This window comes from Homo sapiens, chromosome 20 (assembly GCF_000001405.40).
Source record: "Homo sapiens chromosome 20, GRCh38.p14 Primary Assembly".
In the NCBI taxonomy this organism is placed as follows: domain Eukaryota; kingdom Metazoa; phylum Chordata; class Mammalia; order Primates; family Hominidae; genus Homo; species Homo sapiens.
The window spans coordinates 19,264,793-19,278,496 of NC_000020.11; the positions used below are offsets into that span (position 1 = coordinate 19,264,793).

General features: G+C 45.4%; 1 protein-coding gene and 1 long non-coding RNA gene across 2 annotated transcripts in view; one reads left to right on the forward strand and one right to left on the reverse strand.

Annotated features, from left to right (window-relative positions):
* Nucleotides 1-13,704, forward strand: part of SLC24A3 (solute carrier family 24 member 3) — a 510,285-nt gene that overhangs the window by 52,151 nt on the left and 444,430 nt on the right. The window lies entirely within an intron of this gene.
* SLC24A3-AS1 (SLC24A3 antisense RNA 1) overlaps nucleotides 1-13,704 on the reverse strand; it is a 42,295-nt gene that overhangs the window by 22,491 nt on the left and 6,100 nt on the right. The window contains exon 3 of the long non-coding RNA NR_024564.1: nucleotides 941-1,207. This is a non-coding gene — a long non-coding RNA (SLC24A3 antisense RNA 1). The remainder of the gene's footprint in view (nucleotides 1-940; nucleotides 1,208-13,704) is intronic.

The following is a 13,704-nucleotide window of genomic DNA, read 5'->3' on the forward strand; positions in this document are numbered from 1 at the left end:
AGCAAACCTCACCTAGTGAGGAACGGAAGCCACAGCCTCATTCTTCACGTGGACAATTCTGGGAAGCATTCTCAATGCATGTCTGAGCTTCCAGAGGGATCCTGGTCTTGTTACCAGTGGCAGCAACCTTTGTAATGCATGTTTATATATGCTTTTCCCCTTTATCTGTCTTGCTTTCCACTTTCTTTCACTGTTTCCTGGGATTCTCTCCAGAATAAACTACTTGCACCCAAGTCCTTGTCTCAGACTTGGCTGTTGGAAAACCCAAACCAGGACACCTTTCAACGTTGCAAACACTATATTGCAACGTAAAGCATTACTGCACTACTACAATGACATCTGAGGCTTTTGTTTGTGTGACTGAGCCAGCCTCTGCTGTCAGTTGGCCCAGGCTAGCCAGGTATTTTGGGGGGCTAGGTGTCAACTGTCTTGCTCCACCATCAGTGGCCAGCCTTCTCCCCTTGTAGCTTGTACTTGAAACTTTTATGTCCCATAGCCATCTTAATTCACAATTTCCCCAGGGCTCTTAGAGCTTTATTACTGTGATTCATAGAAGCCACTTGAGAGGCTCTGTGTTCATGGCATGGGGAGGGACATTCATGCAAAGAAAAGAAATAGCTCTCTGCACAGCAGTGCACTACGATGGACACAGGATGAAGCCAGGAAGGGCTGGGGAAGAGCGTTACTGGGGTTCTGTTTGGGATTTCAACAGACTTTACATGGGATGGGATTTTTTTAAAAAGTAGAAGCATGTATCAGCTATGAGCTTCTCAGGTGCTCTTAGAAAAAAGCCAGCCCAATCTGGCTCAGGCTAAAAAGGGAATACATTGCAACATGGAATCGAAAAGTTTATGATTAGTCTGGCTTCAGGTATCAGGGGCTGAAATGTGATGACATCAGGACCTTGCCTATCTCTGTCCTTTGGTCTGACTGTACTCACCTTTATGTGCCATCTGCGGACTCTCAGCCTCCAGGCTCTCCTACTTCCAGGTTCAAGGTCACTGGGACAGAGTGGGTGAGTCTCTTTCTGGGAGCTCTGCTTTGATTGGCCTGGCTCAGTTACAGGCACCTCTCAGAACCAATCATTATGGCCTACAGGATGTGGGACTTTGGCCTTTAGTTCAGGCAGCATCTTTGCTGGTGGTGCAGTGGGTGGGTGGAGCTTCCTCCCAGAACAGGTAGACTTGGCAGGAGGGAGGGGTCTCTCCTAAAATGAAAATCTGAGGTTGATTCTAACCAAGGGAGAGGGGATGCTGGGAGGGGGAAGTGCAGGCACCAAACTTGCAGTGTAGTTAACACTTTAAATTTCCCAGTGGAGTTTTATTGAATCTCTCCTCTGTGCAAGTACTGGGGCCAATAAGAAAAAAAAATGATGTCATCAGGAAGCTTATAGTCTAATAGGGGAAATAAGAATCATACATAGATAACTGCAATGTAATAATTGTTTGAAGGCACATTTCTTATTACTCTGTGAGCAGATGAAACGTGCTTTCTCACTGTTCACATGGTAGCTGCTCTTTCTTCTCCTCACCCCTAGAGAGTCCCGATACTTGGTACTTTTGAAGAAAGGTGTTCCAGTCAGGATTGTGGAGAAGAAACCACTGTATTTCTTTTCCCTCTGCCTGACTCATTGGTGATAACTGTACTCTAGGCATGAATTAAGAAAAGCCCAGAATTAAGGAAAGACTGATTTCCTGCCCTGTTCTATAATGGCAGAGACAAGACAGCCTGAGAGAAAACAGCAGACAATTTTATACTCATACTCATAAATAAATTGGACTGTTTATCCAATCACAAAGGATGGAAGTGGCAGTGATTTTGAGAAGCCAAGTGATGTAGAGTTGTCAAATTCTACTCAATTGGAAACAAAAAAGTGAGTTTTAAAGAGAACTGAAGAAACACATTTGGCAGGTTTGCAGGGGCAAATATATTAGATGTATGAAAAATACAAGTGTTCGGAGTATATCAACAGAGCCTGAGGCAAGGCATATGTACAGCTGGAATGGACTATGAAGCTGTGATCCTTAGGAAAGTATATTTTTTAAGAAATTATGTTTAAGAAATATTGTAATATACGTTATGTATATATATGTATAATGAGATATTATTTTTAAGCCTTATACCTATCTTTGTATTTGTAAAATTTTATATTTAAAAAAGTGGTCTCAATATTACATAAACTTCAGGTCCCATAAAACCTGGATCTGCCCCAGATTTTTATATACAATGAAAGATAAATGTAATAGGAATAAAATAGCGATGAAATGAACCATTTAAAAATAATAATTATATTTTAACAGAACAAAACGTGGATTTTTCTAAACTATGATGATGTTAATGTTGTTATATTTATGGTAGTATCTTATTGAGAAAACATGATAGAATATATTTAACCATTTTGAAAATATTAGTTCCATACTTTGAGATACAGCTAACAGAAGGTCTGCTTATTTTAATTTAAGGTTGTTTATTTTAAGTTTGAAGTTTAATGGCTGTCCTACTTGTAATAGATAATTCCCCAAGATATATAGATCCAAATGGAAGAAAAGCACTATGGGCTATAACTACTAAATCAAGATATTAAATTTTCAGTTTCATTCACCAATTACCCAAAGACTGTTGTTAACATCTTCCCATCTTTTCTGACTTCAGTAGATTAATCTTGCAACTTTTCAGAAGGTGTTGCATTTACATATTTCTAATAAATTGATTTATAAAAATCCATTTTTTTAAAATAAAAGACATTGAATTTTAATTTCAATTTTCTAATAAAAGTCATTGAAACTCTTTGGGAATTTTTAAATCAGGTTATGTAATTTTGATTCCAAATTTTTAAGTGGAACATACACGTTTTTAGAATGTACTGATTTTTATCATTTTCTTGATATGATTTATCATATGAAGACATAAAAAGTCTTGATATTTATTTTCAAAATGCTCTCTCCATAGAGCAAATTTCTTTAGAAAAGCTTACTCTTTCACTGGTTGTTAAAAAGTCACCTTGAGGGATGTGGAGCGAGGGCAGACATGGGGGGCAGTGTGTTTTCTGAAAATATCCGCTAGGTGCACACTTAGCTGGTGGCCATGTCTTCCCAGAAAAGGTTAGCATATTTATATCACTTGTCTTTTTATGAGAGAGAAATGCATAATTCATCTCTAAGTTCAACAGTTTTAAAAAATTATTTGCCAAAAGACAATCAATGGACATGTGCATGGTGTAAAAAGATTTCATGATCATGTCCCCATCTCATTTCAAAATATTGTAATATTTTAATATTTCAAATAATATTGGCAAATCTGCTCAACTGAGCCCATGTAAGGTGCATCATGCTGTGATAATAGGAAAGTAGGTGAGCTAGGAAGGGCACCAGGTCCATCCTGTGCTTTTCCTTCAGGTCCCTCACCTGCTGTGGGCAACAGGTGCACTTCTATTATGTAAATTATGGGATATGCTGACAAGTGCACTCGGTGCAGGTGCCATTGTGAATTCATATTTTAAATATTAAATAAATATGTATTTCTTATTTTTAGAGTGGAATGTGATATAAAGGTTCCAATATTTTCTTTCCAATCTCCAATAAGTTATGTAGCTCATCCTCCAGTAGCACACAATTCTGAAGGTGGGGGACCCTACCAGCTTTTGAACATATTATTCTACCATAGATTTAATAAAAAAGACTCTTAAAGTCCAAACGCAAAGGACCTTAGAGGTCAGCTCATTCATGCTTTTTAATATCCAGATGTGGTAATCGGGCTAAAGTGATTCAACTTCTCCAACAGCTTAAAGTTCATGATAGATCTGAGACTAGAAACCCAAATTGACACATCACCAAGATGACAAATTTCTGCTATCATAAGTCCATGTATCTTCCCATGGGGCCTCATGTGATTTCTTGGTCAACTTGAGTTGTGTTTACTTTAAATCCTGGTTGGGATGCTTCTATGCCATCACTATGCAAGATCACTATACCAAGTCACTATCATTCTTTTGGCTAAAAGGGGTTAAGGCTAGTTTTCAGTATTGATGCTCCTTTCCATTCTTTTCTACCAGTGAGACTGGCTGGCTTTCTTCTTCCCAGGCAAAGAAGGAGGCTAGAAGAAAATAAAAGTCAGACAAACTCCATCTTCTTTGTCTCATCAGAATGTTTAGTAACCTTTATCTAAAGGCCATTGCACTTTCCTTTGTCTCCTCTTGCCACTGCAGTCTTCTGACAGATTGGGGTTCTGCCTTGGTTCTTGGCCTTGGAATAGGGGACTCAGATTATGGGATAAGGCCAGTCCTTAGTTTAGTCACTAGCCACATGTGTCTATTTAAATTTAGATTTGCATCAATAAAATTAAAAATTCAGCTTCCAGTTGTATAGTCTTATTTAAAGTAAATAACAGCCACATGTGGCTGGTAGCTACCATGTTGGACAGTGCAAATATGGGACATTCCCATCACTGCACAGGGTCCTTTTGGACTGCACAGACCTAGATTGATCATCATGGTATTTGGGAGTTTCTGCCTCTCAAATGTGGGAAATTATCCTGGGGAGTGTTTCAGGAGCTCAGAAGGGGATAGGTAACCACTCACCTACCAGATGTGTCTCTGTTAATTTCCCAGTATTCCCTGGCATGTTAGATCTCAGGCCAGGTGGTCAAAGAGTAGCCCAAGAGTGATAACAAGTAGCATTTAACTGACAATTTCTGTCTGAAAGGCGATTTCAATTTCTAGGCCAGAGGCCCACATTGTTTCCATTAAATTGTGGGTGCACCTGTTGCCATCTGCCCCCCTTTGCTCTTCCCTTTCCCCTTCTTTCCAGCACCCTTTGAAAGCTGAAAGCTGTCTTCATTGTGAGACCCACTGCACAAACACCTATACAGGTTGAGTTGAATTGGCTTCCTGCACTTGAGTGTCATTCAGTATAATGGTAGTGGGTGGGGTATGGCTGACACAGATGCCCCCTGTTGCCTGAGAAACGTGGTTCATTTCACTCTCCATCATCAGGTGAGGTGGGCACACAATTATAGTATTTGCTCCTGAGGCCCGTATAATAATAGTTGAGACCCAGCAGGCTCATTCTTTCAACGGGGGTTAACTGTAGGTCTACAGAGTTATTGCATGAAGAGAAGAACATCCTGCATGCATACCTTCATCATGACTCTTCTTCCTGCTGGACAGAACCCACTACCGGTCAGAACATCATCTTCTTCGCTTCCATTCCTACGATTTCTCTTCCAACGGCACCCATTTCATTGGGGCTGCTCTGTCCAGCCTGATTGGGAGTCCCTGGGATTGCTTGGAGCTACTACACAATGCATTGCTCCTGAACTTGCATTTTCCTTTCTGAAACACAGCCCAGTTGGGGTGCACATTTGCATATGCTTCTAGTGACTCAGATCCTTTCATGTGTGTGTACATTCACTTAAAAATGTGTAATTGAGCCCAGCTGCTCAAAGTGGTGCTTGGACCAGCAGCACTGGCATCCACTGAGAACTCTTGAGAAACACAGAATCTCGGTGCCCACCCCAGACCTCCTTACTCAAAGTGTACATTTTAAGAAGGTCCCTACATTACATGCATGCATGCTCTTTAGAGTTTGAGACATATCTTAGTTCAGGCTGCTATAACAGAATACCACAGATTTAGCAGCTTAAAAAACAGCAGTTTATTCCTCACAGTTCTGGAGCCTGGAAGCCTAAGGTCAGGGTGCCAGCGTGGTCAGGTTCTGGTGAGGGCCCTCTTCTGAATTGCATACTGATATATTATTGTATCCTCATGTGGTGGAGAAAGGGCTAAAGAGCTCACTAGGGTCCCTTTAGCAAGGGCACTAATCCCATTCTTGGGATTTGGTGGATGTATTCTGGTCTTATTACCTAATTACCTCCCAATTGGGAGTTAGGATTTCCACATATGAATTTGACACCAACATTCCATACTTTGTAAGAAGAAACCCCATATTGGACATTGTATGTATGTGAGTGTGGGAGAGAGATAGAGTTAGAGGGGGAGGGGGAAGAGAAGGGGTGGAAGAAAGAGAGAGAGAGAGATACTAGAAGAGAGGAGAGAGAGAGGAAGGGTCTTCATCAGGTGGGGTCAGTCAACATCCCTGAGCTTTGAGCTACTACAGATTGTGAAACCTGGGGAAAGACATCAATAGGCAAAGGGTGGCAGGAGAGCTTTTGAAGTCCAGCAAGGGCCAGAGGAAGCGGAGCCTGAGGAGCAGGTGTTGCCTTGGGGCTGAGCTTGGGCCCTTGAAATACCTGAAGACCATCACAAGAAAGGCAGGCTTTGAGCAGAGAACTCCTGGGCTCAGCCCTATAGGTCATTAGAAGAACCACATTTACGTTATTTAGTAGTTCAATGGAGAAAGATAGGGATGTTCTGAAAAGAGAAAGCTCTGAAACCAGGATGCTGGGACTTGATTTTGTGAAGCCTTCTGAAGCAATTTCAAAATGGGAATGTCAACCTCACTAATGATCAGGGAAATGCAAATTAAACCCACAGTGTGATACTACCTTACTCCTGCAAGAATGGCCATAATTAAAAAATAAAAAAAAAAAAAGATGTTGGTGTGGATGTGGTGAAAGGGAACACTTCTACACTGCTGGTGGGAATGTAAACTAGTACAACCACTGTGGAAAACAGTGTGGAGATTCCTTAAAGAACTGCAAGTAGAACTACCATTTGATCCAGCAATCCCACTACTTGGAATCCACCCAGAGGAAAAGAAGTCATTATATGAAAAAGACACTTGCACATGCATGTTTATAGCAGCACAATTCGCAATTGCAAAAATATGGAATCAGGCTAAAAGCCCATCAACCAATGAGTGGATAAAGAAAATATGGTATATATGCACCACAGAATACCATTCAGCCATAAAAGGAATGAAGTAATGGCATTTGCAGCAACCTGGGTGGAGTTGGAGACTATTATTCTCAGTGAAGTAACTCAGGAATGGAAAACCAAACATTGTATGTTCCCACTCATAAGTGGGAGCTAAGCTATGAGGGTGCAAAGGCATAAGAATGACTCTGGGGACCTGGAGGGAAGGGTGGGAATGGGGTGAGGGATAAAAGACTACACATTGAGTATAGTGTACACTGCTCAGATGATGGGTGCACCAAAATCTCATAAATTACCATTAAAAATCTTATCCATGTAACCAAAAACCTCCTATTCCCCGAAAACTATTGAAATAAAAATTTTTAAAAAGAGGACTGTTGGCAGATACGGGAGAAAGCGTATTCAGGTGGCCACTCCCATGTGGATGCTGAAGTATCTTCAGCAGGGGCTTAGGCCCCTCTCCCTTTCTCCATCAGAACTTCTGCTTTCTCTGTGCTGCCCGCCCAGCCACTGGGGGTGGAAACCATTTCCCTGATCCTTGCAGCCCTCTGCCAGGCACTTGCAGGCTCTGCAGCCTCCCTTTGCTGATCCTGCCAGGAGGGTTGCCCCTCAGGGTCTGGGAGCAGTAACTCAGACTCCAGTGGTCTCAGTGAGGGGCCTTCCTGGTCCTGGGGATGTTGAAGACTGCATATTGGGCTTTAGAGATGGAGAGATCAAGCTGTGCACTGTGCCGGGAACTTTGAAGGCACGCAACAATGTCTGTGAGTGGAGCTGGGATAAAATAGGTAAGCACAGGCTGTCAGGCTTCTGCAGAATTGCTGGGCACATGAGTCACCTTGTGAAAATGCAGATTCTGATGCAGCATGCTGCCTGTCTCACAAGCTTGCAGGTGATGTTGATGCCGCTGGTCTAGGGACCACACTTTGAGAAGCAAGGCTGTCATGCAGACAGTTTTGTCCAGCAACCCAGAAAATCTGGATTCTGTCTCAAGCTTGCCACTAAAATTCTTGGGCTTATCATTTAAACTTAATCCCCAGGTCAAGGGGCATGGCCCTGAGGGGTGGGACCCATGGACCTGGGATCTTTTCTGTACGCTGTGCCTCCCTCCTCCCTTGGTGGTTCAGTGATTACCCAGGTGGTAGCTCTAATGAAGTGCTGGGACACAATGGCTACAGCATCCAGGCTGTCACTTTGGGAGGTGGGGAGACACAGCTAAGAAAAAAACATAACTGAACTTCCCTGGAGCTTACAACCTGCGGGTGGGGGTCAGGGACGGGTGATGGAGTAAAGATGGACAGGTTTTTGTGAAGGAAGTCCTGGAGGGTCCAGGAAGGCTTCCTGGAGGAAGGGCTTCCCTCTAGAAGAAGTGGGAGAATATGTGGGCTTTCCCATCTTTGTGCCACCCTCACAACCAGCTTGCCTCGATCTGCCCAACAATCATAGCAGAATCTGCCCTTGGGACCAGTTTGGACTTCTGGCTCAGGGCTTTGGTCCAGGTGCTTTGGGCCATCCCTTGTTCCCAAGGCCACCCTTGCCAGGGGCTCAGCCAGTCTCCCCTCCTCATACCTAACCTAGGCCAGTGTGGGCGAGGCCATGTAGGGGTCGGTGTCATGTCGGACAGGAAGGCAAAGGGATTTTGATGGGAAGTAGAGAAAGAGCCAGGCCTCTCTTTGCCCTCCCATAGGGGAGTTGCACTGGGACTGGTGATGGGGCCATTCTCCCAGGGTGCAAGACACAGGTGAACCCCACAGCCTCACATCAGAGCCCTGAAGTCCCAGCTGCTGGCTTAGCCACCCCTCTCCCTTTCTCCATCAGGACTTCTGCTTTCTCTGTGCCGCCAGCCCAGCCACTGGGGGTGGAAACCATTTCCCTGAACCTTGCAGCCCTCTGCCAGGTGCTTGCAGGCTCTGCAGTCTCCCTTTGCTGATCCTGCCAGGAGGGCTGCCCCTCAGGGTCTGGGAGCAGTAACTCAGACTCCAGGGTGCCCAGGGATCTGCTGCGGATCTTGTGAGATGCAGATTCTGACTCTGGTCCAGCCCCAGGAGGTGCCAATGCTGCTCCTCCTCTGACTGGAAGACAGGGACTCCATCCAGAAGACAGAAGATCTCCAAGCCACAGGAGGCCATAGGTTCTGTTTAAATCCTCTTCCATGAGCTGTCTCCACAGCCTGTCCAATGGGCAAGGGGATGCTGAGAACACCCCCTTGGGCTGGGTCAAGGTCTCCCTCTAATGTCCCCAACTCAGCAACGACAATCACAGGCATCACCTCTTAACTGGTGTAAATTTCTTGCCAGTATCAATTGAGCCTTTTCAGTCCCTCCAATAGGACAGGCCTCCCTTTAATCCAAAGGCGAAGAGGGGAGAAGGCACGAAGTGCCCTGCCTCAAGTGGGCAGGTGGCTAGGGTTGCCTTCTCCCCTCTTCCCCTCTGGGTTAAAGGGAGGCCTGTCCTATTGAAGGGACTGAAAACGCTCAACTTTCAATCTGGTTTTCCTCTTGGAGTGGAGGTGTAGCGCCTTGACACTGGTGAGAAATTTACATCCAGTGTAAGAGTTGATGCCTGTGATTGCCGCCGCTGAGTTGGGGACATTAGAGGGAGACCTTGACCCAGCCCAAGGGGGTGTTCTCAGCATCCCCTTGCCCACTGGACAGGCTGTGGAAACAGCTCATGGAAGACAATTTAAACAGAACCTATCGCCTCCTGTGGCTTGGAGATCTTCTCCCAGCCACCTTCTCTGGATATTCCCTTCTCTGACTTTCTGGAAGCTTTGAGGCAGTTGAGGGGAATGAATGTATGGCCCTGTTAGCCTCTGGCTTCCTCCTCTCCTGCTGGGTTAGGAGAGGTCTGTTTGGGGGATGTGTGGCCCTGTTAGCCTCCAGCATCCTCCTCTCCTTCTGGGTTAGGAGAGCTCCTTTTGGGGGCTGCAACCTCTCCACAATTGGTGCTCCTTTCCAAGGACCTTGAACAAAAGCACAGGGAAGCTCTTGCTTCAGCTGGAAAACCCATGAGAAAAATCTACCTGTACGAAGCCAGGGCCTCCACTGCTCCCCTCTTCATCCACAGAGGGTGAGGACACCAGGCTCATCCTTCCAAGACTTCAGGGGGAGGGGCAGGAAAGGGGTCATTTGGAGAGCAGTGCTGCTCACTCAAGTCTGCAGAAGGCGTCCGCTGGCTGCGGGCTTATGCAAACCTGACCTCCAACCCCAGGGTGAAGACCCGGGTTGTACAGAGTGGAGGCAGCTGTGTAAACTGTAGGGTGGGGTATTTATAGCCTTAGTGAGGAGCACCAAACCAGCCTAGAGAGCCTGAGTTAGTGCTGCCGCCCTTGGCTGTGTTTCTTGTGCCGTTAACTGAGTTTTCCAGACATTCTTTCTCCAGTGTTGCATTCGGCTTTACAAGACTCAGTTTCTTCATCTGCAAATGGGAGGCTGTTGCCATGGCCCTCTGAGTGCTTCAGCCAGATGGTTCTCTGCATCCCAGTTTTCAAAAAGAAAAGCAGTATTCCAGTTCACAGGGAGGGGAGAGTTAATACGTCCTCTCAAAAGGAGCTGCTATGCCCCTAAGGCCACTTCCCTGGGCTCCTGGAGCTCTGGGACAGGTGAGAAACACATACCTGAGCTTTGCAGTCAGCTCTGGCCTAGGGTCCTGGCTTGGCTGCTTACCTGCATCAGCATTCCCTGCAAGAGGATGGAGTGAGATGGTATAGGAAGGGTGCTTGGCACATAATAAGGGGCATAAAAGATAATTTTGCTGATGATGCAGCAAACTTCCTCATCTGCTGCCACCGCGGTGTCTGAAGGAGTTAAACCTCTTATCAGAGAGCAGGCAGCTCCACCTCTCCACCAGGCCTGGGGCTAGTGTTTGGGAAGGGTTTGCAAGCCCTGTGGGACAAGGTTCACATAGGAGACAGTGTTAGGGTGAAGGCTGCTAGTCAAGGCTGTTTGTCAGGGGGCATGCAGGGAGATCCATTCTTGGTGTCAGAAATCCTTGGGCTCTCTAAGCCCCAGTTGTGGGGAGGAGGGCGGTAGGGGAGGAGGAGGGAGGAGAGCACAAAAGGGTGAGCACACAGCTCTGTAATGGAAACTTGGCGTCCAGCCTCACTTTGTGTCCTTCCTTAGTGCATGCGGCTTGCTTTTCGAGTTGAGAGCTTGGTTTCCTCCCCTTCTAGCCAACATCCCGTGCTATCCCCATGGCCCACTCCTGTCCCCTCTTCTTAGAGCCTGCAGTCCTGCAGACTGCCTCCACCCGTGACATGTGACATGTGAGCCTGCTGCCTCCCCTCTTCATCCCCTACCCCTCCCCTGACTAATTAGGCCAACATGCAACTTCCAGGGCCTGGCAGATGAGGAGCCAAGAATGCCATGGACAGGGGCCAAGTGTTTTTGTTGACATTGCTCAAGTATAGCTTTGTGGAGCGGCCTCTTTGCTGTAGCAGAGAAATCCAAGGAAGCTGGAGAGGTGAGCGAGGGGAGAGCAGGGAGGATAGCCAGTGTGGGCGCCTCTCCGTATCCCCTTCACCTTCCCACCCTCCAAGCCTTCCCAGCTGCCCACCCTCTGCCCCTCCTCCCTAAGTGCAAGAAGATAGCCCTCCATGTCATAATTTGTGGGACCAGCCCAGTCTCTAGGAAATCACACTGAGCAGAGTGAGTTGCACGCAGTGGGACTTTAGAAGTGTCTTATTTCTTCGTTTGTGAACCTTTCATGGGGGATGCTCGTCCTCACTGCTGTTCCCAATTCAGTCACATGTCCCTTAACAGTGGGGATATGTTCTGAGAAATGCACTGTTAGGCGATTTTGTTCTTGTACCAACATCACAGAATGTATTTACATAAATCTGGATGGTATAGCCTATTGCTCCTAGGCTAAAAACCTGTACGGCAAGTGACTGACTGTACTGAACACTGTAGGCAGTTGTAACACAGTGGTAAATATGTATGTATCTAAACATATCTAAATACAGCAAAGGGACAGTAAAAATATGGTGTTAAAATCTTATGGGGCTGACTGTGGTGGCTCGTGCGTATAATCCCAGCACTTTAGGAGGTCGAGGTGGGAGGATCACTTGAGGCCAGGAGTTTGAGACCAGCCTGGGCAACATAGTGAGACTCTGTCTCTACAAAAAATAATAAAATTAGCTGGATGTGGTGGCATGCACCTGCAGTCCTAGATACTGGGGAGGCTGAGGCAGGAGGATCATGTGAGCCTCGGAGTTTGAGGCTGCAGTGCACCATTGCACTCCTGCCTGGGCAACAGAGCCAGACCATGTCTCTAATTAAAAAAAAAAAAAATTGACCACTCTTATATATGCCCTCCGACGCTGACAGAAATGTCATTTTGCAGTGCATGACTGTAATTTCTGAGGAAACAACCATCTTTGAAATAAGACCAGTGAGACTTATTTACCTCTTCACTGCTAGCCTATTATAAGGTGCAGGCTGCATTATTGAGCTACTTTACTATAGCTGTATAATTAAACCAGGATGGATTTCATCCTATCCCAGGATCTACCAAGAATTTGTCCTTTGAGGTCACTATACCTGGGTTCAAATCCTCATTCTGCTACTTGCTCACTGTGTGACCTTGGGCAAGATATTTAACCTCTCTGCCTATCAATTTCCTTATTTACAAAATGGAACTAGTATTTCCATGTAGGGTTTTCATCCATGAAGATGAAACATGGTGAAGAATGGAAAGGTTTCTGCACATCACAGACATTCAGTGAATGGAAGCCATGCTAACTACGAAATGATAGTTGATGTAGCCACGGATTGGCTCTGATCTTAGGCAAATTGCTTATCCTCTGACTTATGTACTCTAAAAGTAAATTGACCCTAGAACCAACTGCCTCTTCCTAGCTCAGCAGGAGTTTTGTGAGGACAAATGAACTGTGCTATAATATTGTCAAACTTGGTTCTCTGTGGGAAGGAAATGGATGCAATGCATTGCTTCATCATTCTTCTTTTCTCAGACTCTGGTCTCTGTGTTATTACATCAGCCATCAGTGGTCAAATACACTTTTGTTGAGATAAAAGTTTGCAGGTTTTGGAATCCAGAGGTGCTGCCTTAAGAGTCTAATTCCTGAAGATATTGAATCATTATGTTTAAAAATCCTCTAATTTTCTGCTACAATAGCTGGCTTTATTTTTACATCTCTTAATTGGTATCAGCTTTTCTCTCAGAATTACGGAACCATGGAAACTTGGCATATGAAGGAACTTTGGAAGTCATTGGAAGGGATACTCCTGCTTCTTTTTAAATCTTTGGGGTCTTCCTGAGCATTAAGATTACAGTACCACAAAGCATTTCTCCTTGACCCAGAGAACAGTGGAATGGCCACGCTGCTGGCCACAGCATGACTCTCTCTTTAGGTACTGTGTAGATGGGCAGATGCCGTGGTGCTCGACCGATATTACTTGGTTCTGACCTCTTCAATGCCAGCTGGCACAGTGCAGCTTCTAGCACCTTCCTGTCATTGCCCAAGGCCTTTTTCTGGGCATCACCTTGGACATCCATGTGGCAGATTAGAAATGCTGGGGGATTATGTCCTCTTTCATCAGCTTCAACCAATGTTAGACTAGGAGTAGGTGGATGAATACCTAAGCTTCCTCACATCTTAGGTGTCTGAGATGCATGTCTACGCTGGCCCCCAAAGCTATCCAGAGAGATCAGTTTCTAGTTATTCATGATGGCAACTGACTTAAAGTGCACCTACTATTAGCATTTCCTGTCCTACTCTGCTCTTCTACCGATTCTTCTTAGGATCACCTCCCGTATAAACCACCTTCTCACAAATCCTTCTCTCAGGGGCTGCTTCTGGGGAAACCCAGCCTGAAACAGAGGGGATGCCCTTCTCCACACTTTCAGATTATTTG